This window comes from Homo sapiens, chromosome 8 (genome assembly GCF_000001405.40).
Source record: "Homo sapiens chromosome 8, GRCh38.p14 Primary Assembly".
Taxonomy (NCBI): Eukaryota; Metazoa; Chordata; class Mammalia; order Primates; family Hominidae; genus Homo; species Homo sapiens.
Window position 1 is genome coordinate 61,633,556 of NC_000008.11, and position 25,876 is coordinate 61,659,431.

The 25,876-nt window shown below is 38.4% G+C and overlaps 1 protein-coding gene across 90 annotated transcripts in view, besides 3 other annotated features; it reads right to left on the reverse strand.

Moving 5' to 3' along the window:
* ASPH (aspartate beta-hydroxylase) overlaps window positions 1-25,876 on the reverse strand; it is a 214,037-nt gene that overhangs the window by 133,000 nt on the left and 55,161 nt on the right. For 17 of the 90 annotated variants that reach the window (NM_001413855.1, NM_001413899.1, NM_001413891.1 and 14 more), the window contains 10 exons: window positions 20,013-20,105; window positions 17,495-17,569; window positions 13,195-13,323; window positions 11,045-11,077; window positions 10,390-10,446; window positions 9,831-9,878; window positions 9,333-9,365; window positions 4,767-4,808; window positions 4,392-4,448; window positions 128-172 (listed from right to left, as the gene is read on the reverse strand). The exons of 2 other annotated variants lie outside the window; for them this stretch is intronic. In NM_001413855.1, coding sequence (NP_001400784.1) covers window positions 128-172; window positions 4,392-4,448; window positions 4,767-4,808; window positions 9,333-9,365; window positions 9,831-9,878; window positions 10,390-10,446; window positions 11,045-11,077; window positions 13,195-13,323; window positions 17,495-17,569; window positions 20,013-20,105 — 612 coding nt within the window. The remainder of the gene's footprint in view (window positions 1-127; window positions 173-4,391; window positions 4,449-4,766; window positions 4,809-9,332; window positions 9,366-9,830; window positions 9,879-10,389; window positions 10,447-11,044; window positions 11,078-13,194; window positions 13,324-17,494; window positions 17,570-20,012; window positions 20,106-25,876) is intronic. 71 more of the 90 variants (NM_001413876.1, NM_001413897.1, NM_001413871.1 and 68 more) reach the window with 32 other exon arrangements.
* Window positions 2,427-2,676: an enhancer, noted in NCBI's record as "active region_27445". NCBI's record gives its function as "activates an Ori minimal core promoter by ATAC-STARR-seq in GM12878 lymphoblastoid cells {active_cell/tissue: GM12878}" and the evidence as "EXISTENCE:reporter gene assay evidence [ECO:0000049][PMID:35858748]".
* Window positions 2,757-2,926: an enhancer, noted in NCBI's record as "active region_27446". NCBI's record gives its function as "activates an Ori minimal core promoter by ATAC-STARR-seq in GM12878 lymphoblastoid cells {active_cell/tissue: GM12878}" and the evidence as "EXISTENCE:reporter gene assay evidence [ECO:0000049][PMID:35858748]".
* Window positions 3,007-3,106: an enhancer, noted in NCBI's record as "active region_27447". NCBI's record gives its function as "activates an Ori minimal core promoter by ATAC-STARR-seq in GM12878 lymphoblastoid cells {active_cell/tissue: GM12878}" and the evidence as "EXISTENCE:reporter gene assay evidence [ECO:0000049][PMID:35858748]".

The window sequence follows — 25,876 nt, forward strand, 5'->3', positions numbered from 1 at the left end:
AATTAAGGTACAGTTAATCTCTCTCAAAATTTTTATCCTTCGTAGATTCATTATAAAGCTATTGGTAATATTAACAGGATTTTTAAGGATAACAAAAGAGGAAAATACAACATACAAAATGTCATACCTGGTGGTACTTCCTGCTGTTCTTCCACAGGAAAAATGCTTACTTCTAAAATAAATAATAAAGTTATAATCTGTTACATATTGCTGATCAGTGTTTAAAATATGCGTTGCCAGATTTAAGTAATGATGATACTTTTCATAGATTTTTTAAACAATTCAATTGAAATTTTAATAAAAACATTAGGCTTCTATACCCTCACAACAAAGAATGATCAGCTACAACTTAGCAAAATGTTGTGTATTTCTCAACGGTTCAGCACAGCAGGTTTTATAGTACCTGCCCGACTAACCTCAAACTCCACTGCCCAGCAAAGGAGCTATGGACTAAAACTTATGCTTTCACCACAATTTTGCATCAGATTTGATAAGAGAGCTGTGGAAAGACACTTAAAGTATCTTATTTCTTCTTTAACATCAAACACTATCCTTCATGAAGTTGTTTTAGAAAACTAATATTCCAGATAATATATTCTGAGACTAGTCAAAGATATGGATGTGAATGTTTAATATCCTGTCTTTTTCCTTGGTTGCTTCAACCCAGTTACAATTAAAGAGATGGTAGATGTCCCCACCCAGTGATTTAAAGACATAGTGATCTGATTTGCTCCATGAAATTACATCACATATTAATATCTTCAAACCTAGCAACCCATTTAACATTACCTTAACCTAGAGATAAGATTATATCAACATTCCTTTTGGTCCTTAAGAATTGTTAACAATCTTTGGCCAAAAGAAAGATTTTTTTAACAGTATTTTCTAAAACAGAAAACACTTATGGAGCTATTTTAATAATTTTTCTTCTTGCATTAATTTGCTTCTAATTATAAAAAATGACACATGCTCAAAACAGAATATTTGGAAATATTTCACATAAAAGTAATTGAAAACAGCAACAAAAATCACACCCATTCCCACTAACCACTGTTAGTATCTGGCAATATTTTCTTCTTATAACAGCAGTACAGTGACTATTGAATAGCTATGTTGTGACTGGCTTTTAATAGGTTTGCCTGTTTATTTTGTTCTTAATTATTTGGAGACATATTAACACTTTATCAACTTTGCCAATATTTTTCTCAGAATTTCTTTTACTTTTGTTATTCTACGCTCAAAATATTGTACATCATAAAGTATTAGTTGCTGCTTTTGTTATTTCCAACACTGATGTTATACTAAGAAAGCCTTATTATTATTGCAAGTTAAATTTTCATCTAAATTTATTACAAAAAATATACATTCAACAAACTCATATGAAATTTCTTCTGGTATATGATGTAATAACATGATTTCTAAAAAGTAAACCGTGAATTAATTCTATCAGCACAATCTGGGTTACCTATTTTATAGCCTACTTTTCCTTACTCCAGGTCTTTTTGAACCCACTTCATTCTGTATGGCTTTCTCTTCCCCTAATTTACTCAAATGGCTTTTGGTAAGATCACTCACAATCTCTACGTGGCCAAATGCAACTGATAACTTCTCAGTCCTGAAATTCCTGGGCCACTCAACAACAACATGAAACATATTCACATTTTCCCTTCTCTACTTCTCCACTGGCTTTCCTCCTCACACAATGGCTGTTCACCTTCCACCCAACCTCACAATATTAGATTCTTAGAGCTCAGTCCTGGGCATGCCTCTTTATCGTCTCTCCACTTGCTTCCAAAATGATCACATCAGTTTCCATGGATTTAATACCATCTCTACGACAATGGCTCCCAAATGTTTATATTCATCTTAAAACTCACCCAACTAGCTCAGGTTGGCATATTCAACCCCCCACTTGATACTTTCACTTGGATATATCACATAACTCCCAGAGTTAAAATGTCTGATCTGGGGCGTTTTATTTTCTCTCCTAAACCAGTTTCTTCTATAAGGTTGGTGCAAAAGTAATTGTGGGTTTTGCTATTACTTTTGCACCAACCTAATACATTCTAATAATAGTTTTCTTCTCTATAAATGGCCCCATCATCTAATAGTTACTGAAACCAAATAAAAGACCCCCTTTATTCCTCATCTTTGCTTCACAACCATCAGGAAGGTCAATTAATTTTAATTCTAAAATATATCTCGAGTTCAACACTTTCCCCTCCATTCCCACTGCCATGATCTTATTTCAGGCTACCACAATCACTTCCTTGGATTAGTACACAATATTTTCCTAACAGGGTGTTTCGCTCTGCTTCCGTTCTTGCTCCATTCAATCTAGTGAAAGTAATTCACTTTCACATCTAAAACAAAAATCAGATTATGCTATATCTTAAGAATTTTCATAATTCACACTGTGCCTAGAATATAATCCAAAAAGCCTTAGTAGGCCTTGCAAGGCCCTGACTGATCTGTACCTATCTCTTTATTGCTTAAGCCAGTTTGAGTTTCGTTTTCTATTATCTGCAACTGAAAGTAACTTTACTGACACAGATGGAGAATAACAGAAGGGTTTAAACACAGGGCTGATACAATGAGAGCTATACTTTTGGACAGATCATCCTAACAGTATGTGAAAGATGGGTTTGGAGGGGACAAGAACAGAATCAAGATGTCTAGCTAGCAGACTACTGCTATTATCTAGGAAGATGAGAAAGGGCTGAGCCAGACAAGGGGCTATACAAGAGCTATGGAGAAAAAAATGGATTTAAGAAATGTTTAGGGAGTCTATTAACAGGTCTTGGGATTAGCTATAGAGACAGAGGGAGAGAGGACTCAAAAACGAGTTCCATGTTTCTGGTCTGGGAATCCAAGTATATATTGATACAACCGGCCAAGAGAAGAGGAGACAGGGAAAACAAGGTTGGTTGCTGTGAGAGATAAGCTCCCCTCACTGTCCACTCAGGCACTACAGGAGCCCAGCACAGAAGCTGCAGGATGGGTGGCAGGTGCATAGCCAGGTGCCTCACTGCCCAGGACAGGAAACTCCCTTAGCAGCCTCTGCTATGTCCTCTGTCAACATATCAAAATACTGAAAAGTCTTAGGAAAAAACTATTTCTAAACCAAGAAAGGTAGGGTCAAATTGCATAGTTCTTTTCTATAAACCGTATGTAGGGTAGGTTGGAGAAAGTTCTGCCCAGAGATTATGGGTTTCCATCTTCTGATTCTCACCAAATAAACATATAGACTCAGTAATATTCTTCAGAACATTAATATCCCTCATAGAGAACTGAGTAACACAAGGTGGGAAAAAATCTCAACTCAATTCAGCCTTGCCACACAGAGATGGATCCTGCCTTTACACAAGGGCCCAGAGTGCCTGTACAGGGGTCTCTCGCAGCAGCTAAGCGGACACAGACAGCAATTTTAGCCTCCCCGATTCCCTTATACCTATCTCCCCCCATTTCAGTCAACTGCACCATTCCATTTTCCTTTCTGCCTAACCAAGCTCAAAAGCAGTAACATTTAATCTGAAAGGTGACAATTAGCTGCTCCTAAATTTTAAGAGTAATTGTAAGAGCAAAATTCTCCCTCTTACATGCTCCCCCTGGCAACTTATGGTTGTTAAAGCAGAGACCCCATTCCCTCACACCTTCACACCCCCACGCAGAGTCACCCACAGGTCCCAGTCTTGGGTCGAATATCCCCTTGGTCACTTACAGCTATGAAACCTAGGGCTAGCCAGTCACCTGACCTCACTCCAGCTTCAGGTCTTCATTTGCAAAATAAGTACAAAGATCTCCACGCTCCCTGTTTCTCAGTGCCTACTACGAGGAGCAACTGAAATAATATATGTGAAATAACTGTAAAATGCTAACTAAGAACTGTATTTAAATCTAAGTTCTATTGAAGCGCCACTGTTTAATACATGCAATTATTTTTGTTTTTCAGAAACCATCCCTTCAGTTCTCCACCACCAAAAAAAAAAAAATTTGTTTTGTTTTCCCAGGTGAGTCATGACATAAAGACCCATCTTTCAACCCGTCTCTGCCCATAGCTATGCCCTTCTCACCAGATCACCCCTCAGGGGTGGTAACCTGCTGCTACTCAGGGTAGCCCTCCACACCCTCATCAATTGTTTGCTGTTACAGTAGCCTGTTTTTATCACTATCATTGTACTTCTCATAATCCTTAATTCCGTTATTTATTATCTGTTTGGCCACTGGAATGCCAGCCCCAATGAAAAGAGGACTCTGTGTTTTCTTCCCTCTTGTACTCCTAGCTCCTATGCACTGTATAGACAGCAAGTAGGAAATGTTCGATAAATAACTGAATAAACAAACACAATTCTCATATGGAAGGTAAAACCACTTCCATAAATTTATCTTACCTTCTACAATTACCTGTGAATCTTCTACAGGATTATCCTCAGGGGGAGCAGTTACTTCTAAAATAAAGAATAAAATCAGAATCCATTACATGTTGCTGACCAGTGACACATCTTACATTCACTCGCCTTCATTCAGATTCCTAAATTAACTCGTGTCCACTCAGATTGCTAAATTTGACTCTTTTTAAACTGGGTCTTCTGCAGAGTATTTATATTAGAATATTAACTTTAATTTTGATACTCAATTATTTTCTTACTGACTTGAAAATGTCTTGCATTTTTTCTACACTGACTCTTTGTTCCACAGGTAGGAGTTTTAACAAAATACAGGGAAAGCTGACTTGCAGAAAATATGTGCTTACAGAAAAAACTTACCTGTGATTTCTATCCCTTCATTTTCTAGAGGTTCATATACTGCTAAAAAAAAAAAAACAGAAACAAAATCCCGTAACTTTCATTGTAACACAAAAACTGACAACATGCTTTAAGGGCAGAGACAATGCCTTATGCATCTTTGAACCTGCAAGGTTCAGTCACTGGGAAACAGCCGACTAGAGAGTAGGGTGGAGAAGAGTTTGGTCTAGGGTAAAACAGGCCTGGATTCTAATTCCAGGGCAGCCACTTTTTACTACCTTTTTAAAATTTTACTACCTTTTTAAAATTTTCTTCATGTCTGTGGTGGAGGTTTTGAATTAGCCGAAGCTGTACCCTGGGAATCAACTGGATCCTGGTGTTCATGGGCAGATTCCCTGCTTTGTTTAGGAAACAATTCTCAGACCTCTAACCTGGGGCCAAACACCTCTGCCGCCAGCCCCTGAGAATGAAGCGTTCCCCACCCTAATTAGGGCGTGCTGCCCTTGCCTCCCTCATTTGCTGGCATGAGGCTCAGTGCTTCTTCTCTGCTCTGCTGCAAGGAAGTCTCATCTCCACACAGGCCTCTCCAGGGCCCAGTGGCTCAAAGCTTCCTCAGTCAACCTGATCTTCCAAAATACCTCCAATTTTCTGGCACACTACAAGAAAACATCCTTCTTTTTCCCAGCATGGTTGTAAGTTTATTCTTTCTTATTCATTTAATAAAGAAAAATTATTGAGCACCTACTATCTTTCAGACACTCTCAGTATTGGGGTACAGCAGGGAACAATGTTTAATAGGTCGTTTTGTCCTTTTGGGGCATTTGAAAGATGAAGGAGCAGTGAATGTGTGCTCACTCTGTTGCCCTGAGCAGTGTCAGCATTTAAACATGCTCAAGCTTCTAAGAACTTAAAAATGCAATACCACTCTTTCTTAAGCTTGCTTCTCGTCACCCTCTCTTTCTTCCATTGAACAATCTAATTTCTTCAGTCATTTACATCTCATGGCTCATCTCTTCCTCTCCCCTCAACTCACTCCCGCCTGTCTTCAGACCCTGACCCCATCCCTGAAAAGGCTCCTGCTGAGACCCCCTCCAGTGCCTCATTTGATATGATGGACACTCGCCAGCCCTCGCTATATTTTTAGCAACACCATTCTTCTCCAAACACTGTTGCCCCTGGACTTCAGGGTGACCATACTCTCCCCTTTGGTTTTTCGTTTCTCCCACTCAATCTTCTTTTTCACTTCATCTTTTTCTTAGCCGTCCTTAAATGCTGGCTTTCTTCAAAGTCCAGCCATAGAACCACCTCATGTCTCCCTCAATCTGCTCTCCTTAAGGGATCTCAGAGCTTGGTCCTGATGACCACGTAACTACTCTGATGGTTCCCACACTCACAATCACGAAGTAGACTTCTCTTCTGAGAGTCAAACACCACCAAATGGCTCATTTGATCTCTCCTCTCAGATGCCTCAAAGAAATCTCACTATCATCATGTAAAGAACTGGACTCATGAGCCCCTGCCCCGTGCTTGACTCCAGTCTCTCCCACGTTAGGAAAAGAGCACCCCCTGTCACCAGGCTGCAGAAGCAGAAGAGTGTATGTGGCTCTTGGCACCTTGTTGTCTCCCCCCAGCTACACCCATGCATGAAGACCTGCCAATTTTACCTTCTAAGCATTTCTCAACTTTGCCCACTTCCCTCCTCCATCATTGCCACCACCCTTGGTTTAAACTATCATATCTGTCCTATCCGTCCACTGAAACAGTTCCAGCTAAAGTCACCCGTTGAGGCCACTGCAGCGCCAGATCAGGGCAGGTTTTCAGCACTCATCTCACATGGTTCTCAGTAGCGCAGGGCACCACTGAACATCCCTTTCTTGAAACTCATCTCCTTTGGTTCCTTCAGACAGAGAGAGATGTGATGCACGGAAAGACCCAATTTGGATGATTACAGCTAACTTAACTGTTCTCCCTGTATTGACTCTTGTCTCTCCAGTCTGTTTGTTGCATGCCAGACCGATCAATCTTTTCAAAATGCAGATCTGACTTGGCAGTGCTCAAAGGTGAAGATGAACGTCCTTGATCTTGCTCACAGGCATCCTCTGAACCCAGCCCATTTCACCACCTCAGCCTTACTCTTGCAAGTTCACGTCAGAGACCTCATACGACTCTCCAGTCACCTTTCTCCTTGCCTTGTCAATTGTTCTCACCTTCAGCTCAAACTTCAGGAAGGCCCTGCCTCATCCACAAACTAGGTAAGGTCTCTTGATTACATATTCTTGTTACCACTGTACTTGTTCTTCCTAGCACTTATCACAACTGGAAATGAAAACTACAGTGAAATTGCTTGTTTAATTTCTACTACCCTACTAAAATATAAGATCCATGAGAACAGGAACCATGGGTGTTCTTCACTAGAACTGCTCCAGTGTCCTGTGTTTCAGACCGAAGACACTAAACAGTGTATGAATAAATAAGTCAATTACATGGTAAGGCCATACTGTCACTTCCCAGGTTTGTCCAATGTAGGCATGATGATTTCTAGGTTATCTTTGATGTAGAAGCTGGTTCCTACTATAGTTCTATCGAAGTGTATGTTCTGGGGTTTGCAAGTTTCATACAGAATATATTCTATTCTCCCATTGAAATGTGGTTTTGTTTTCACCCTACTTACAGCTTCACTTACATGTCAGTTACTTGGTTTCTCTGCTCTGATTCCTGAATTTTCACAAAGGTATTGTTTTAGCATATAGTGAATAATACACTGTTCAATTAGATCTATTTGTTTGAAACAGTTTATGTTCTATATAACAAAGAAATCCAAAGTAGCTTACCAAATCATGTCAATCTCTTAGGTTATATTTACTGCCTTTTGCTAACATTTTAAATTACATTTATTATGATACTCTGCCCTATGAAAACATATAACATTCTTTTCGCATGGTATCTAATTTTATACTTCTTATGAGTTTGAATTTAAATTCCTCTAGATTTAGTCTTCAAATTGCATTCCAAACATGTTCTTTATATTTTTAAAAACATTATAATGATCAGTAGAAATGAGGAAAATATCTCAAATCCCATCATTACATGCAACTTGTATTTATAAATTCCTATTTTCTCCTTCAAATTCAAGATTGGAAAGAAAATCTAAGTGCAATCTCAAGACCAAATTATTCCCCAACCTTCCCTCGGCCCCAAATCTTCCTGTGAACACATCAGGTCCAAATTCTTTAACTTTTCATAAAAATTATCAGTACCTTAAAGACACAACCTAGGATTTTTCCCATGGTGTCATTCATATCCCATTAGAAATAGCCACTATAGATGATGAACTTGGTAGGGTCTCAAATCTTAAATCATCATATAAATATGATTCATATTTATAAACACTCCTAATTTTCTTCAATTGTGATTCACTATCTATCATGACACTGTAAACTCCTTGAAAGGAGGGACCCTATGTTACTCATAATTGAATTCCAGGCCCTAAAACCATCTAGAACATAGAAAGTCCTCCATATCCACCAACTCAATTACGATGTATTTCTTCATCGTTCTTGCTTTACACATAAAGTTATACCCAACTGACTTCTCTCTTTCTACATAATCATCTTTGAGGATAATGGAATAAAAAGGATATATTATTGGTTCTATTACTTCTTAGCCATACATTCTTGGGCAGCTTATTTATAATGTCAGAACCTTATTTCTGTCCTCTGGGAAGCAGGGAAAATAAAATCTACTTCATGGAGTTCAACACAATAGTCTATGCAATGCTTGGACACAAGAGGAGGGAGGTACAGGCCTAAACTGAATCAGATGCTGCTGATGCCACAAATTTGCCAGAACTGTTTTCTCCATACTGCCTTTAAGCCTGGAACACAGTGCTTCTTAACCTTCCCCAAGGTGACAAATCAGTCATCTTTGAGAGTGGGATTAACCTGTAGAAGCAGCTAGAGCAATTTAACTCCGGCTAAAGTAGTTGTTCATGCATATTTTAGTCAAAAGAGACACAACTATAAAGTACTGAGATTGGTTTTCTTGAATGACTGTAACTGCCTCCTAAGGCAACTTGTAAAGAGTTTAAGAAATTATTTAGGCAATGGCAGAAGCCGTGGAATGGGTAAACAGTCTCCCCAAGTGAATTCTTTGAACGCTACCGTTCATCTGGATGTTTTAAGTTGCAAAGTTTATAGTTTAAAGCATAATGTTCCACATCTTGTAGTCAAACTATAGGTATATTTTAAAACAAGAAGGTGGCTTAAGGTTAGAAAGCATTTGCAGGCCGGGCGCAGTGGCTCATGCCTGTAGTCCTAGCACTTTGGGAGGCCAAGGCGGGAGGATCACCTGAGATCGGGAGTTTGAGATAAACCCTAAAATACTAAAAATACAAAATTAGCTAAGCGTGGTGGCACATGCCTGTAATCCCAGCTACTCAGGAGGCTGAGGCAAGAGAATCGCTTGTACCCAGGAGGCGGAGGTTGTAGTGGGCCAAGATTGTGCCACTGCACTGCAGCCTGGGCAACAAGAGCGAAACTCCATCTCAAAAAAAAAAAGAAAAAAAAAAAAAAGAAAGCATTTGCAAACCTTGTTCCTCATAGACTTGGTATGTTACATCATCTGAAAAAAAAAAGAGAATAAAAGCAAAATAAGTATTAACTGAGTCATTCTATACAATTGTTCAGTTAAAACAAAATACTACTTAATCGTAAACACAGAACTCTACTCCTTCAAATATTAATGTCTGCTCAGTCAATAATAAATGCCTCTGCCCAAAAGCAATTAAAAGGCAGGTAAATTATTTTCATTAAAATTTCTCAAATTGGCACAGAGGAATTTGATACACAAAAACAGCATTAAAATTTGACATCCTGTTTTGTTATGGAATGGTTAGTTGATGAGGTGAAATATGAAAGCCTGATATTCTTATAACAGTCTAACTTTGTTATAAAACAAAATCTCATGCATTAGATGTCGAAATTACTTCTTTGATGCCTTTAAAAGAAAAATCACCATGTAAACACAGCATGTGATTGAAAAATCTAAGGTAATATTTTAAATCTAATGAAAATGCTCATCTAATACCTGTATCATGGTGCAATCTTTCATCTTCTACTACTGGTTCACTGGAATCTAAAAAACAAAAACACACCTTTGCCAAACAGGAAAAAACCAAACACATTGCCAGACAGCATTCTAGGAGATTCATAAATTAATTATCTTCACAACTTTGCCAGATAGATGTTTTCATTATCATTTAATAAAATTTAAGCTGAATAACGTTCCACAATTTGATGCCTAAGTCAAAAAGATAGGAAAGAGTAGAAATGGGATTTGTACCCAGAATGACTTTATAGTACATCATACTGCCCCTTCAATTTTCAAATATTCTTTCCAGCACCTTACCTACAAAGACCAAAGTCTCAACAGTGGTTTGAAAAATACGTCTCCTTTTTCTCTCATCCCTCTATGTAGTATTAAACTATATTCAGACATTTCTATAAACATCTGACCAATCAAAAGTGATTATAAATACCATACAGGGATCTCTGTGTTGAATCACAATTGTTAACCCTGGAATAAAACGGCCTTGGCCACTGCCTCAATCAGAAAACACATATCAATAATTTTAACATTTACAAACCTGGATTTTCCTGCTCAGACATCATCTCTTCCATATCCTGATTACAGTCTTGTGAAACTATAAATTATGGAATAATTAGGAAATTACGTCTCAAATAAGGAATACATGTAATATTCGAAACCAGAAAGACACAATTTCTAGTTATGATTGAAATGCAAAATCAAGTCATAATGATATTCAAACATGTTCACTCCTGAAACAAATAGGTATTAAGTGTGTTAAATGCCAAATGCAAAGATGAGTAAGGGGGGCCTGTCATCAACTGGTTTACACTCAAACCGCAAAACAGTAAAGTGCTGACAGATGATGCGCCCACCTCCTGTGGCCATGCCCTTTAAGGGCGCTGGCATGTGACAAAACATGATTTAGACCTTTCGTTGACTCTGTAATTGAAAGGTACAAAACATGCAATTCAATTGTATCTTTTGAACTAGTAATCCTACTGAAAATTTATCCTCAGGAACTAGGCATCAAAACACAAAAAAGTATATTCACAAAGAAATACCATAAATATAAGACGTAATAAAATTATTAATTGCATATCTTGCATATATTAATTTAAATATATCATTAATAATAGATATTATGTATTTTATGATGCCCTTTTAAAGGAAGACTCACTCTAATTAAGAACAGAATTAAATTAAAATCTCACCTGTCTCTTCCACGTGGTAACTATGCTCGGTTTCTGGAAAAAAAAAAATTAGATTGATATTTACTGCTTTTACAAAATGGTATGTATATATCCCGTATATGTACTCTGAATCTATGCTTATCATTAATTTTATTTAAAAAATTAAAAAATGGGACTATCAATTAAAAGTCTGCTTAACACTTTTATATTTCACTAGAAGTACACTGTGGGATGTCTCACACATTCTCCTTCTCAGTCCACTCATCCCCACAAGGCTGACAACCACCACCCCCTGGACTAAAGAGAGAGGACAACTTAGAGTGACACAGGCCAGACCAGGAAAGCCGTTCATTTCTAATCCACTTCACAACCCACTAGAATGTGCTATCTCCTCGACCTGTCCTACCATTTTCTAGAGCGAAAGTACAGCAACTATGGATGGGAACAGAGAAAAACAGCTGAAGAGGCTTTATACCCTTAGGGAGCTGAAGGGTAAATGTGTTGAACACTTAACCCATACACCCCAGATAGCAGAAGAGCTATCTGTCCGTCACCACACTTATGACCTTGCTAATTTTATTTAATGCATATATAAAGAATAAATATTTTTATTTTCTGAAGACTTTTAACAACCAACTTTTAAGTTCAAACTGCATCTATGTCCTAATTAAAGATGAGATCAGAAAGTAAGGTTTCTGCAATTTGTGAACTTCTTAAAAGTGTTTCTTCCTACTCCCAATCTGTGACTCCTAACTTTAAGAATATCAAATTCCTCATGCTTCTGTTTATTTCAGCATCTTAACTGAAATTTGTTGTATAAGCAGCATGTAGATAGAAAAATTCTGAGCAACTGTCAATCTTACTGAGCCATTTAGGCCAAAGACTGGAGAGAAGAAGCAACAGGAAATGTGGAAATCATTTTATCAGTATCCCTACTCAGAAACTGGAAACCTTGTCCCAAAGAAATCATGACATAAATGATTACTAAAGGCATAAAGTTCTGAAGGTAGTCTATAAGTGCTTATTTTCAATGTGTAATGCAGCAAAAATAAATCATATAGATGTTCAAAAGGATTGTGTGCTTGTATTTTTCACAGAAAATTATGCATTATATACAATTCTTTTGAAAACCAAACCATCCCATATTTTTATGGGAAAGTGCATTTCCTGTTCTAAACAATAGGCATGGATATAAGTTTTTGGAAATACATGTACTCATAAAGTAGGAGCTACCTGCTGCTAAAGTAATTTTCCAAAATATTTAGTATTGTGCAAAGTAGATAAACTACTTTTCATTTTTATGCTTTTAAAAAGTGTTTGCTAACTGGACACACAATGGCTCATGCCTGCAATCCCAACACTTTGGAAAGCTGAGGCAGGAGAATTGCTTGAGGCCAGGAGTTTGAGACCAGCTTGGGCAACATAAGGAGACCTTGCCACTATAAAAAATTTAAAAATTGGCAGGGCATGGTAGCATATGCCTGTGGTTCCAGCTACTTGAGAGGCTGAGGTGAGAGGACTGCTTGAGCATGGGAGGTCAAGGCTGGAGTGAGCTGTGTTCAAGCCGCTGCACTTACCAGCCATGTTGGGTAGGATTTTACAAATAAGTTGTATAAAAACACAGCTACACTGACCCACTTAGGAACTATCAAAGGCTGCTTTTACGCTGTGATGGCAGAGTTGAGTAGCTGAACAGAGTCTGTACGATCCAGAAAACCTGAAATATTTACTCTCTGGCTATTTACAAAAAAAAGTTTGCCAATGCCTGGTACAGAAGCTAAGAATTGTGTTTTGCTCACTGTAATTACAGAGTTCATGTGTGAACATGAGCCTGTGATAGATTATCAAGTCCAATATTTCATCAGTTGTTTGAATTTTATTTAACAAATAGCACCCTAAGCAGAAGAATATAGTAAAACTAGTTTCCTCAAGTATTTGACTCACTATTTATAAGAAATTTGTATATTCTGAGTTTCCCTGAAAAGTGCTTTGAACCAAAATCAAGGTATCTATTTTAAGAAAAAATTTGCTTTAATTGAAGCTTTAAGCTTCAACTTTTAAAAATCTAAGCAAAAGTTAAATATCAGTTTTAAAGGGGTTTAAGAAAAACTTCAGTAATTAGAAGTCATTGATTATATTTTATCCTAAAACTTGAAAAAAAAGTGTTCTACCTTCATGAGATACTTCAGGTTCCAGGGTCTCAAATCTATCATCTACATCAGTCGCCATAAGAAACTCATCATCCTCTTGTTGTGGTTCTCCTGTGGGTCCATCTTCTTGTTGCAAGTCTTCTCCCTCAACTATGACAATGAACAAAGTGACACTGGCAACATACAACTGAGACATGAAAGCCCCTTGTGAAGGGCTGCCACACACCTGCTCCTGCTGCTGGGGCTTCCCCTGCCCCTCCTTTCGGCCGCTGAAGACACCATTGTCCACTCCACAGCTATTTTCTTCCTCTGGCCAAGTGCTAATCTGCCTAAGTATATGTGGTGGGGGACAGGTTTCCTCTCATTAGGATGTTACACATCAGGACAGGAAGCTTATATATTTTATCCATTATATATTCCCAGTCACCTAGGGCCATGTCTAGCTAAAGGAAGCACTCAATAAATATTTGATGAATGAATAAATGAATTCATAATTATTACTAATATATTTGCCTCTTCAATTATCCTCAGGTCAAAGAAAAGGCTACTCTATGGCCTTTTCCTGGGAATTGACATAGAATTCCAGGTAACAACTTTAAATGACTATTCAAATATTCTATAGCAAAGAGTGACTAGCCACCTATCTAAATTATATGCTAGGGCCAGGCATGGCAGCTCACGCCTATAATCCCAGCACTTTGGGAGGCTGAGGCAGGCAGATCACTTGAGGTCAGGAGTTCAAGACCAGCCTGGCCAACATGGTAAAACCCCATCTCTACTAAAAATACAAAAATTAGTCATGCATGGTGGCACGTGCCTGTAGTCCCAGCTACTTGGGAGGCTGAGGCAGGAGAATCGCTTGAACCTGGGGGGCAGAAGTTGCAGTTAGCCAAGATGGTGCCACTGCACTCCAGCCTGGGTGACACAGTGAGACTCTGTCTCAAAATAAATAAATAAATAAATTAAATTAAATTAAAAATAAATAAAAATAAATTATATGCTAGGTCACAGGTTTACCTGAATCATACTATGCATTCAAATGTTCCTATTAGGCTTCAAGTTATGCAAAGATGCCCACTTTCTCTTCTGTGATTAACTTCTATGATATATTGAACTGCTCTGCTTCTTTTGTGTAGAGGTTGGACATGTTGCATGATTCCACTGCAACATGGTTAAGACTGGGTATTGCATCCCAATGTAACTTGACCTGGCTTCCAGCAGAGTATCTCCTGTGTATAATACTCTAAAGAAAGTGAATGGGCAGGACTTGGCTTTGCAGTGCAGCTCAGGGATTAGGACGAGTATGGGGTCCGGATGCATGGCTGTAGATTCAGGCTCTTCCATACCAGCTGGGTGACTGTGGGCAAATTACTTAACTACCCTGTGCCACAGATTTCCCTCCCATAAAATGGGAATAATATCTATTTGTAACATTGTTATGAAGATTAAAACACTTAGAAAAATGCCTGGCCCTAAGTATTTAGGTGTCATTATCACCATTATTACAGTAATAACAACATTGTCATTTGTACTGCTACTGAATCCCCCTACCCCACAACCCCAGCCCAGACTGCAAGAAGCCTTCCTTAGTTACTCTCCCTTTAGCGTGGCAAGGCAATGCTCTCAGGTGTTAGAGAATCAGGCAGGCCTATTTATGTTGATGCTATTTGTTTTCTATCTTCTCCTCATAGCTTGCAATACTGTTTTTCCTCATTTTAGATTTTCTGCTATTCAGCAAATCACCAATTTGAATTTCTGCTACAAATTTTACTTCTCTTTTTATTTTTATCATATTCCTCTTTCCTTATTCTTCTTTCATTCTATCCAGTGAAATCTGATGATTTTTACACTAGCAGGATTTAGCTTTCGTATGCGGTTGTTCAGTGGAAGTATTCCTGTTTTCTGTAGCGAAACCAGTCTAACATTGAACACTATCTTTGAGTCTCATCATGAAAAATTTCCTAAGGGGTCATGAGACTCTAGGCATGGCCAAGCCCTCTGCAGCTGTTATATCCTCCCTGTGAAGCAGGTACTGGTATCCTACTTTGAAAGATGAAGAACTTGAAAAACTGTGCTAAAGCCACATGGCTAATCAATGGCAGATACAGGACCTGAATCCAGTTGTGAATGCACCATGATGGGGGCAGGGAGGTTATGCTCAGTCTGAAAGATGTGATTGGGCGGGGTGGGAAACACATCTCAGCAAAAGATATACCAGGTGCAGGGGTGCTAAAGCAGTGATAGGCTTGGCAATTACAAGGAAAAGAGAGGTCAGCTGGGCTAGAGAAAAGTCACTGAAGGGGAAAAAGAGGCTGGGATCAGACAAGGCACAACTGGCTGGGCCACATTAAGCACAGGTTATAGAGGAGCAAGTATGGAAACAGGGAGACCCAGCTGGATGCTACTGTGCTACTGCAACAGTCATGGCAAGAAGCCACGGTCACACCGAGGCCCTAGAGAGCCAAAATCAGTGCTGGGGCAATGCTGACAGGATTTGCTGATGGATTAGATGTGAGGGGAGAAGAAAAATCAAAGAAAACTCTCGAGTTTTCAAGTTAAGCAAGTAAGAGGGTAGGAGGACCATTAACTAAAATATAAAAGACTAGCATAAGCAATCTGGGGAGAACTGGGGTGAGGAGGAGCTATGGGGTGTGGGAAGAATCATGAGTTCTTTAAGTCTGAAACACCCATAAGACATCCAAATGGAGATGCCAAGTATGCAGTTAGGTAAACCTGGAGTTTAGATGAGCAATGAGGGCTGCAGCTATATATTTAAAAGTTATCAACATACAAAGAATATTTATAACCATGGGCCATAAATGTGATTTTCTAAATGTGATTAAAGAAAAGAACAAGTCCAAGAAGGAGGCTGTGGCCAGAACACGGTGCTAGACTTGACTACTTCCCTCTTTTGGCTGCCTGCCCACCCCCCACCACCTAAACATCTTAGGGTTCTTTCTATTTCTCTCCATCCCCTCCTTTGGCTGAGGCAAGTTTGCTACCATCCTGAATCACTGTTACCTGCACAACCTCCATCTAATCTCCCAGCTGCACTCTTGCATCCCCCCATGCATTTTTCATGCTACAGACAGAAGGCACAACACTCCTAAATACCTTCCCCAATGGCTTCAGTTACTCTTAGAATCAAGTAAAAAATATCCTTTTTCTCATGACTCTCCACCTACATATTCCACGTGCCAGCCATTCTGAACTACTTTCAGGTCCTTTCCTGTCTCTGGGATATGCCTTCTGCTTAAAACACTCACCACCAGCACTGGCCTGGTGAAGGTCTACACCAGCCTCTTCTGACCCCCCTTCTGAGTAAGACCTGAAGAGCTTCCCATATTTTATTACCATGACAGCACTTACCCCATTATATTTAAATCACTTATTTATTTAGATTGGATTTTCCTTCTGTTAAGTTAAAGTTGGGGTGCCGTGGGGAAGGAAGGCTTGAGGAAGGGGAAGCCTGCACTTGCTCATATAGGCCCATGAGTGGCTTTCCGAGCTGCAAAGAAGCTAGAAATAAAGGCATACAGGCTCCTACACCCCTAGCATCCACTGGCAAAAAACAGTTTAAACTACAGGGCATTGTTTGTTTTTAAGAAACGTAATTTTATTTTCCTTTAGGCCACCCTTGGATCACACCAAAGCATCAGGAGAATCAGGATTCCAGAACATCCTGCCCACTCCACAATCCCTTCATGAGATACGTTTTGGGATCACGATCTCTGTTTTTATCAAGGGATGCTTCAAGAAGCAGCCTTATAAAACCTTAAAACGTTAGTTCCTGGGTTATTACTTAGTATCCTCTACACAGAGCTCCCCATGAAAAATTTTTAAATTTAAGTACTGGGAAAATGTTTTGCATTCTCACGTTTTTTTTCCTGTCTGCTTAGTGCAACCTATGTAATTAAAAGTGTCATCATTTTTGTTGTGGTGACCAGCCAACCATGAAGCAAAATCGAGGTGGAGCACAACACCTGGATGAACCCGACCGTGGGCCTGTGTCCCACTTTCCTCCTCTCCATCCTCCCCTTCTGTTCCTGATGGATCACTGTTTTCAATCTGTTCATTCTCATTTATTCCCACCAGTTCTCTCTTAGATGTATGCAGTGAGTTCCTCCACGGTGAAGTAGAATAAAGTAAGTTTAGTGCTATTTCAAAAACAACACCTGCTATCTAACTTTGAATTCAAAAACTTTTTAAAAAACACAAACACCCAATTAACCTTTAAATTTTAAAACAAATGTCCAAGTCATTTTACATAACTAAGCGTTATTTTAGTAACTCAAAACAAAGAGCAGATTTTAATTCATACCATGTTCTGCGTGTACCATTTCATGGAGAAGGGACTGAATTTGTTCTTTTGCTTCATCTTCGATATTCTGGGGTTCTAAAATAATTGCAAAACATAGCTAAGTAGAAAAGCTCAAACATCAACATGGACCCCTAACACTCAAATATGACATTGGTACATACACATTAAAATGAATATATTTGACTAAGCAACTCTGCATGCCTTCTCTATCAGCTTACATTTTTTTGTTCTGTGTTGGCAAACATGGTAGATATGTAAAATTTGTTTTATTCTGTCAACAGACTTAAGCATTAAAATACTTTCAATAAGATTTTTAAAGAAAACTCAGGCTCAGATTTGTATTTAAAAAAGAGCCTTATTAAAAGCAAAATGACTTGTTTCTAATTAATAAAATTCGCAATAATGATAAAATAAAGTGGGAAGAACAAAGCTTTCATAAAGGGAAATAGTTGGAAATAAAGACAGAAATGTGGAAGACAAGGTCAATACAGATTGAAGTATCTGGTCAACCATTACCTATCTTCCCTGAGAGGAGAAAGGGCACTCCTGCAGGTGAGAGGACTGAATACTCAGAGGTAGCCGACTGCTCTCACTCAGGTTTGTCAGGAAGTGTCAGTAGAAAACCTTACATTGTAACTGACAATCCTTTCAGCTTTGGAGAACCACATCTGACACTGAGATCCATAAATTCAAATAAATTGAATTACAAAAGTGAACATAAATGATGACATTCCAAAAACACTGTGGTGCTTATCAGATTATTAGACTTAACTGCAACATCACACAATGAACAAGAAGCTATAACTACATTGATACTAAGTTCTCTAATAAATATAATCTATGTTCAGTGAATAGAAGTAGCACTACACTTGGTATCATAAATGCTGTCATGTGAGATAATGCCAGTGACATCGGTTGTTGTCAAAGAGCTAATCTTCCATGACAAAAAATAGAAAGTTAATTTAGACTTCAGGAAGGAAAAGAGTTTAAATGTAATATCTACTATGCTAATCACACTACAAAATCATTTCCAAAGCATAAAAATGCCTATTTTTAATAAATGTTTATATTTCACAAGCCATTTATATATGTAGTCTTGTGCTATTATAGAGTCTGCCAATCGCCATCCTCTCTCACAAAGCCTAAGATAGCTTCCTAACTGGATTCCCAGGTTCATAACTGCTGAAATCACCATCCAAAGAGAATATAATCTGAGTTACTAGAAGTGGAGGGTGGTGCACTCTGCTCACTCTTTAATGGCTATCTTTGCCCAAACTGGTGAAAGTCTCAGTTCCTAGGAGCAGAATATAATACCTCCACAACTGAGTCCTCACACACTTCTCCAGAATCATCTGCTACCAGCACTGGCTTTGAACTTAGTGAGGACTCCATGCCATTTCAACTTTCCATAATTTTGCAAATACTCCTTCTCTCCTCTGGAGGGGATTGGAAGATGCAGAAGCTGGAGTGTAATGGGTTAAAAAAAATGAATGAAAAATAAGGTAAAAAAGTAATAGTGGATTCTTCTTTCAAAATCGTGGCTGTTGTAGAGGGGAGAGGGATTAGATGGCAGAAAAAAGAAATGTGGGGGTCAAGAGGGGTTTTATTTTAGTACAAAGTAAAATTTGAGGTGCTAAATCCAAACACACATTAAATTATAAAACTTTTTAAAAGTTACTATCTATTCTGGAGCTATGGTATGATCATAGCAATTCTACAGGAATGAGAGAGAATACATTGTCCTAGGATTAAAAATTCAACAAATAACAAAACTCAGAGCAACATATTGGCCTTAAAGGAAAAAAAATCAAATATTATTCCTCAGCACACAGTGAAAAAATCAGCCAAAGTACCATTTGGATTCAGTACTTAAGTTTTCAGTAAATATGTAGTGTCATTCCTTAAACTTTCAATAGGTGGCATAAGAAAACCAGAGATTTAGAGACTGTATTAGATTTACTAACTTATTAAAATATTTCACGACTTTCCTACCTATAGTCATAGGCTTTGGGGTAACTACAGAGATGCTTGATTTATGAACCCATGTGGACACAAAACAGGCTCCATAGATGCCCACAGGGAGGTTTGGGAAGTCTTTTAAAATAAACGAGACCCTCATGTAAAAAAGACTGAGAAACCACTAGATCTACTCTATTAAATCACGTGACAAATGATAACACTAGTAGTGTAGAATTGTGTGTATTTTTACTTTCAAGGTAATATAGTACAGTAGTGCTGGAATTGGAATCAAGAAACAACATTCAGTTCATGACGTTCCTAAATGTGTGGTTTTGGACAAAGAACAACTGTCTGCCTTAGAGCTGATCTTAAAAATTAAAATTATCCTGTTCCAATTTCTACTAGAAAAATACTACATAATTTCAGAAGAGAAAAAAAGTAGTTAATTATTCTGTAAATGATGTGAAACAAATTCCAGGTAAAACGTGATTCTGTAAATGCGGATACCTGTCAGGCTCTGGCACACCTGGGCGAGACTCGAGGATGAGGACAAGCTTACCTGCCTCCACAGGAACCTGCTCCTCGGGCTCAGTGTGTGGCTCAGCCTCTTCTGGCGGGACTGCTGGCTCTGAAGTAGATCTCTCTTTAAGTCCTGCATTTTTTTATTCACAAAGTTAACTTGAGTTTTTGTGGGGTTTTCTGTCACATTAAACCAGGAAAAATAATATTTTCAAACATTTAATTAATAGTGCTGCTAATTAATAGTTTCTAAAATTGTATGCTTAAAAAGTGAGGTAGGAAAACAGTTTGCTCTTCAACTTCACATGAGCCTTGAATATATCTCTTTGTCTTAGTTAGCTTTTCACTTCAAATTAAAACAAAATCATTGTTTAAATGTTCATGAATCTCTAAAACAGTCATGTCTAAACCTGCCAAAAGTTCAATATGAGTTCAAGCTCCTTTTGTTTTCATAAGCGATTAATTCCTAAGTCCTGCAGTTTGAATTCAGCAATGAGGCAACTAAAATGCACTTGAATTTTCTGTTATTCAGGTACACTCGATGTTTTCACTTATATAATTATTTATTCTACTTGAAAAACAGTTAAAAAGAAAAAGAAATCATACATAACTATTTATTATCATCTAAAGGAAACCCCTACAAGTAATCATATTATTCTATAACAGCTAAAACATATGAAAATTTAAAAGTTCTTCTCCCTTTTACAAGTCCTAATAAGACAGCAGGGTATGTTAACATGAAACTGATTTTAAAGTCAAGGCCAGTCTAAAATCTATTATATTAACTTAGTTATTTGAAGTTATTTGATATTTTGTATGTGGAACATTAAAATAGGTCCTCAATTAAATCCAAGTATTTAGAAAACAGCTAAATTCAAGAGTTCAAAGATTCCGTTTGCTGATCCTGGACTCCTCCTGACCTCATTAAGAATCTCCTACCAAGAGTAGTCACTGTGCATGGACAGCCTGCGGCAGGAAGGTCAAGGTGATGTGAAGGGCAGTATTCTAATCTTAAGCAGCTCTGTGCAGCTCATGTATGCACACTAATGTGGTCTGGAAAATTTTCATTTCGATGTATTACTCTTCTTTTTTATTATTTTTCCTATGTCTCTTCATGTTTCTTTTATGGACAAAAACATACTCCCACATTCCTCTTCCCAAATCTTAAAAGAAACAGAGACAGATACACAGGACCCTGCCACATCACTTACATTTCCTCTAGTTACCATTTGCAACACTATTTCCACACAAAACTCACCACTAGTACACCTGACACCAACACATACAGTTGTGTTCTATACCTAAGTTACCTCTAACTGTAAGACAGGCTGCAAAGGGATTATACACAGGTCCTAATTGTAGTTCAAGTTCAGGGAGGAGGGGGTAGAGATGAAGGCCTAGTAAAAGACATCACATTTCAAATTCAAATTTAGGGCTGCCCTCCCTTTTACCATTTAAATAATCATTTTTACATCCCTCAACTGTTAATGGAACAGGTATGGAATGATTCATTGCCAAGTTCTGCTGAATGAATGGGAAAAAGCTTAAGAATCTCAAGAATCAAGTAATTTATCTTTGCACTCTCAGCACCTCAGCTAACACTTGGCACATAGCAATTGCTCAATGAACACTTGTTGAAGGGCTGAATACACCCAGTGGTGTGACTACTCTGCTAAGTCTAAATGGCTGTGGAGATTCCCTGCAGGGCCAGGGCTTCTTAGGTGCACTCCAGTAGCTGAGTAGAAGAGGGAAGGGGACTCACATTAGTACTTCTCTACTCCTATGTACCAGAGATCCGTATTTCTGCTCCAGCATCCACCATTTCAGTGTCATAAGTCTAGTTTGCCTGAGACACTCCCAGTTTATGTCTGCTGTCCTGAGATTATTTCACTCTCAAAACTATCTGTCTGAATGAAAAATTACAGGGTCATCCTTCACTGACCCCACTTTAGCAGGCTCTCAAACTGTGTTCCGTGTGTTATACAAGCAATGAAATGTTTTCTCACCAAACGATAAAGATCTAAACTGCCTGAAAACCCCATTCTTAATGAGTTTTGAAGTTTCATTTGAAAAGTCATAATGCTACGTGTTCAAATACTACTAGTATACCAACATTCCGACATACAATGCCCCTGAGAGTCAGCTTTCTCTAACCAACTTGAACTTATTTGTCTCTAAAATTGAAATTGCAAAACATAGGAAAAACAGGAGAAAGCAAAAGCACAGAGCAAAAAATATTGATTATTTTACCCTGTCCAAAGTGGAAGGTGTATTATAAAATTGTTAATACCTGGTCATAGCTATTTCCAGATATGAAATCAGTACAAAAAAAAATTGTAAACTTCAAAGAAGCTGAGATCATATTACTGTATCTCCTCCTCTAGACCTCTATAAACTTTTTGAAACTTAACAAAAACACATTCTAGACTATAATTGCTTTAACAACCCATATGGAAGAATTTGCCGTACAAGATTTTATTTCAGTGTTTCCAAAAAACTTTTTGCCACCCAAGCTCATTTTAGTTCTAAAATTTGAGGGAAAAAGCAAGCGAAAATGAATCAAGAAAAGTAAATGCATATAAGCTCAATTCAGTCATAGGAAAGGTTTTCAAAAATGGATTTATTATGAGGTACAAGTGGCAATGAAGTAGCAATGAAATAAATATTCAAAATTAGGTTATGACATGAGATGTGTCGGTTTCGATGTTCCTGGGGCTGCAGTTACCAAACTGCCAGCTTATAATGGTTGGGTAGGAAGGAAATTTATCATCTAACTAAACAAGAAGTGCGGAGGCGGCTGACTGCATCGCAGGTCAAGCTTCACCCTCAGGCTGGCAATCAGAGCTCCCCAGCTGCAAGCTTCTTTTTCAGACAAGGCGATGTCCAGAAGCAAAAGGAGCATCTCTTGCTCTGCTTCTTTCTTAGGCTTGAGGAAATTTTTTCCAGAAGCTACCAGCAGTCTCCCTTTTCAGTGTTAATCATCAGGACTGGGACCCACTTCCATTCCTGTGCTGCCAAGAGGAACAGGGTGTCCACAGCCGCCTTCCAGTCATTATGTATGGTGAATAGATACTGCCAGTCCACAGCAATGGCCACAACATGATTTGGAAAACACATTAATTCCCTTAAAACATACCTTGGTTTTAGTTCTTTAGGTTAATCAGATAAATTTGGAAATTATAAAACATTTGCATTTAATCACTATATAATTGCCCCTCCAATTTTAATTAAAATTAGATGAAGCTATGAAATGCAAATGAAATCAGCACTTTAAATCAACCACTCATAGCAAATATGAGTGACACAAATACCCAAGCCCAGGATTAGCTTACTTTATTCACTGCTGCCCATAATGAGAAAGAATCAATATATTTCTTTCCATAAATATGCAGTAGTTGTAAACTTACTAAATTGTATGTTGTATTTAATCGTTCAACAAATATTTAGCACCTATTAATTCAAGGCATTATTCTACAGTAAATGAAAACAACACACCTACCTTCCGGGGGAGAGAGAAACTTAAAAAATAAGAAACATGAACTATTTAGAGTATATTGGATGGGGACAGATAGTACGGGGAAGACACAGAACAGGGAGCACATTAGGGAAAAGTGGGGGTGGGGACTATTCATAATACTTTGGCAAAAGGACTCACTGATAACATGTGAACAGACCCTGAAGGAAATCAGGGATGTGGCTATGTAAGTTACACGTGTGTTTCGGGTAGGGAACTGCAAGTTCAGTCATGTGTTGCTTAACAACAGCGATACATTCTGAGGAATGTGTGGAAATACATGTTGAAATGTGCCATTAGGAAATTTTACCACTGTGGGAACATTGCAGTGTGCCCAGGCAAACTTAGAAGGTATAGCCTGCCACAAACCTAGACTGTATGCAACATCCTATTGTTCCCAGGCTACAAAACTGTACAGCACGTACTGTACCGAATACTGTAGACAATTGTAACACAAAGTGTTTGTGTATCTAAACACAGAAAAGGTACAGTATAAATATGACACTATGATCTTATGGGACCACTATCATACATGCAGTCCATCCTTAACCAAAATGATAGCATGAGGCATGTGACTGTACGAAATTCCTCAACTGGGCACATATTTGGCACCAAGGAAAAGAAAGGTGACTGAGGCACCAAGAGAGGTGTGCATATCAGAAAGGCCCTGGATGCTGGATCCAAGGGCTGTGACTTGAGGGAACACAAAGGATTTACTTCTCCTAAGAGTTATAAGCAAGCCACTCCCTCAACAAAACCTGGGAAACAATTATAAACTTACTTTGTTTCATACAATTTCATACACCTAGCCCATTAAAAAGCTAAAAAGTTTTTTAAAATTAGTGTTTTAATCTTTGGTTTACTAATTCAAAGGTGTACAGATGAAAGAAAACGTGTCCTTACTAATCCAGGTTACTCCAGCTATGGTTATCTGTGCTCAGGGTGAGTGCTCAGAAGTGGTACTGTTTCAATTGCAAGGAGTCTAGCAGTATAAATCAATTTATCCCAAGAATAAGGCTCATAGGTATATGAAATTTGAGAAATATTCTGGAAAATCAATACACCAGAAAGGCATGCATACTAGGTAACCACGTTAATCCTCGTTGTCGCTCCTGGCTTGTGTAATCAGTGAATACAGATCTTCCTCAGTATACCAACAGCAGTCTCGGAACTTACCAAAATTCTGAGACTACCAGGTACTCAAAGCTGCCCCATGATATGCAGTAAGAGCCATTCCAGATTCAAAGCATCTTCAAGTAACCCAAGCTGGACAGACAGATTTCAAACAGACATAAATTACAAAAGAATTAAACACTGCCAATAAGGTTCCCAAGAGCCTGGTTTCAGCACCAATGAAGGGACTCAACAAAGACTGGTGAGAGTGGACTCACTTTAACATCATGAAAAATACAGTTCAAGGACATGCAACTCAGCATGGTGTGTAAGTTCAGGCACCTGGGACAAGAGGATGCCTTTGAATTCCATTTGAATTCTATCTCAGTGTTAACCACAGCTACACTTTTTGGTTTCCACAAATGCAAAAAGGGGACAAAACAGGACCCCTAAGAAGGGCTTTAAGAATTAAATGAGATAATTTAAATAAGTATTTTTCCAAAAATTTACCATTTCATTAATTTCTTCTAAAAAAAATCTTTACACCCCCCTCCCTGCCAGTCACAGGTAACTTCCAAGGTAGTTAAAACACTGCAATTACTGAACAATCTTTTGGGTTCTTCAAAAACACACACACACGGTTTTCTTCTTCCTAATATTCTTCAACAGTATATATACACCTGAAATATTTTTAGATAATTTATTTTGTATAGTCACCATTCAATAAACAAACAATGAATGCCTATTAGTGTCAGTTACTAGGATAGGTGCTCGAGATAAATCGTAGTCTGGCAGCAAAGTCCAAGAATGAGGCAAGGTGATGAGTGCGATAACTGGAGTGTGTGGGATGCAGCCACTTGGGAGGGTCAGAGATGTCTGAGTGCAGAGGTGATGACTGGGCTGGGTCCCGTGGGAGAGACAAAGGCAGCCCACCACACAGAGCAGGAGCACATTCAGGAGCACGTTCTAGGCAGAGGGACTAGTGGGCTGTACTGACAATCGTTTCAGTCTCATTACTTTCTCTCTCAGCCCCTTGCTTATTTTGCAGCATTTCACTGGAGGGATTGCAGCCACCTCAATCTCTTGTATCCCCCATGCCTTGCCCAGTCCCGGCATGCTGTAGATACTCAGAAATATTAGTTGAATCAATAAATGGGAACTATAGACACAGCATGTTGGTGTTATATAATTATCAAAAATAACCCAACAGCTTTAAGCATAGATCATCTCCCTCTAATAGGACACAAGAGAAGTGATACATAAGGCAAAGAAGATGG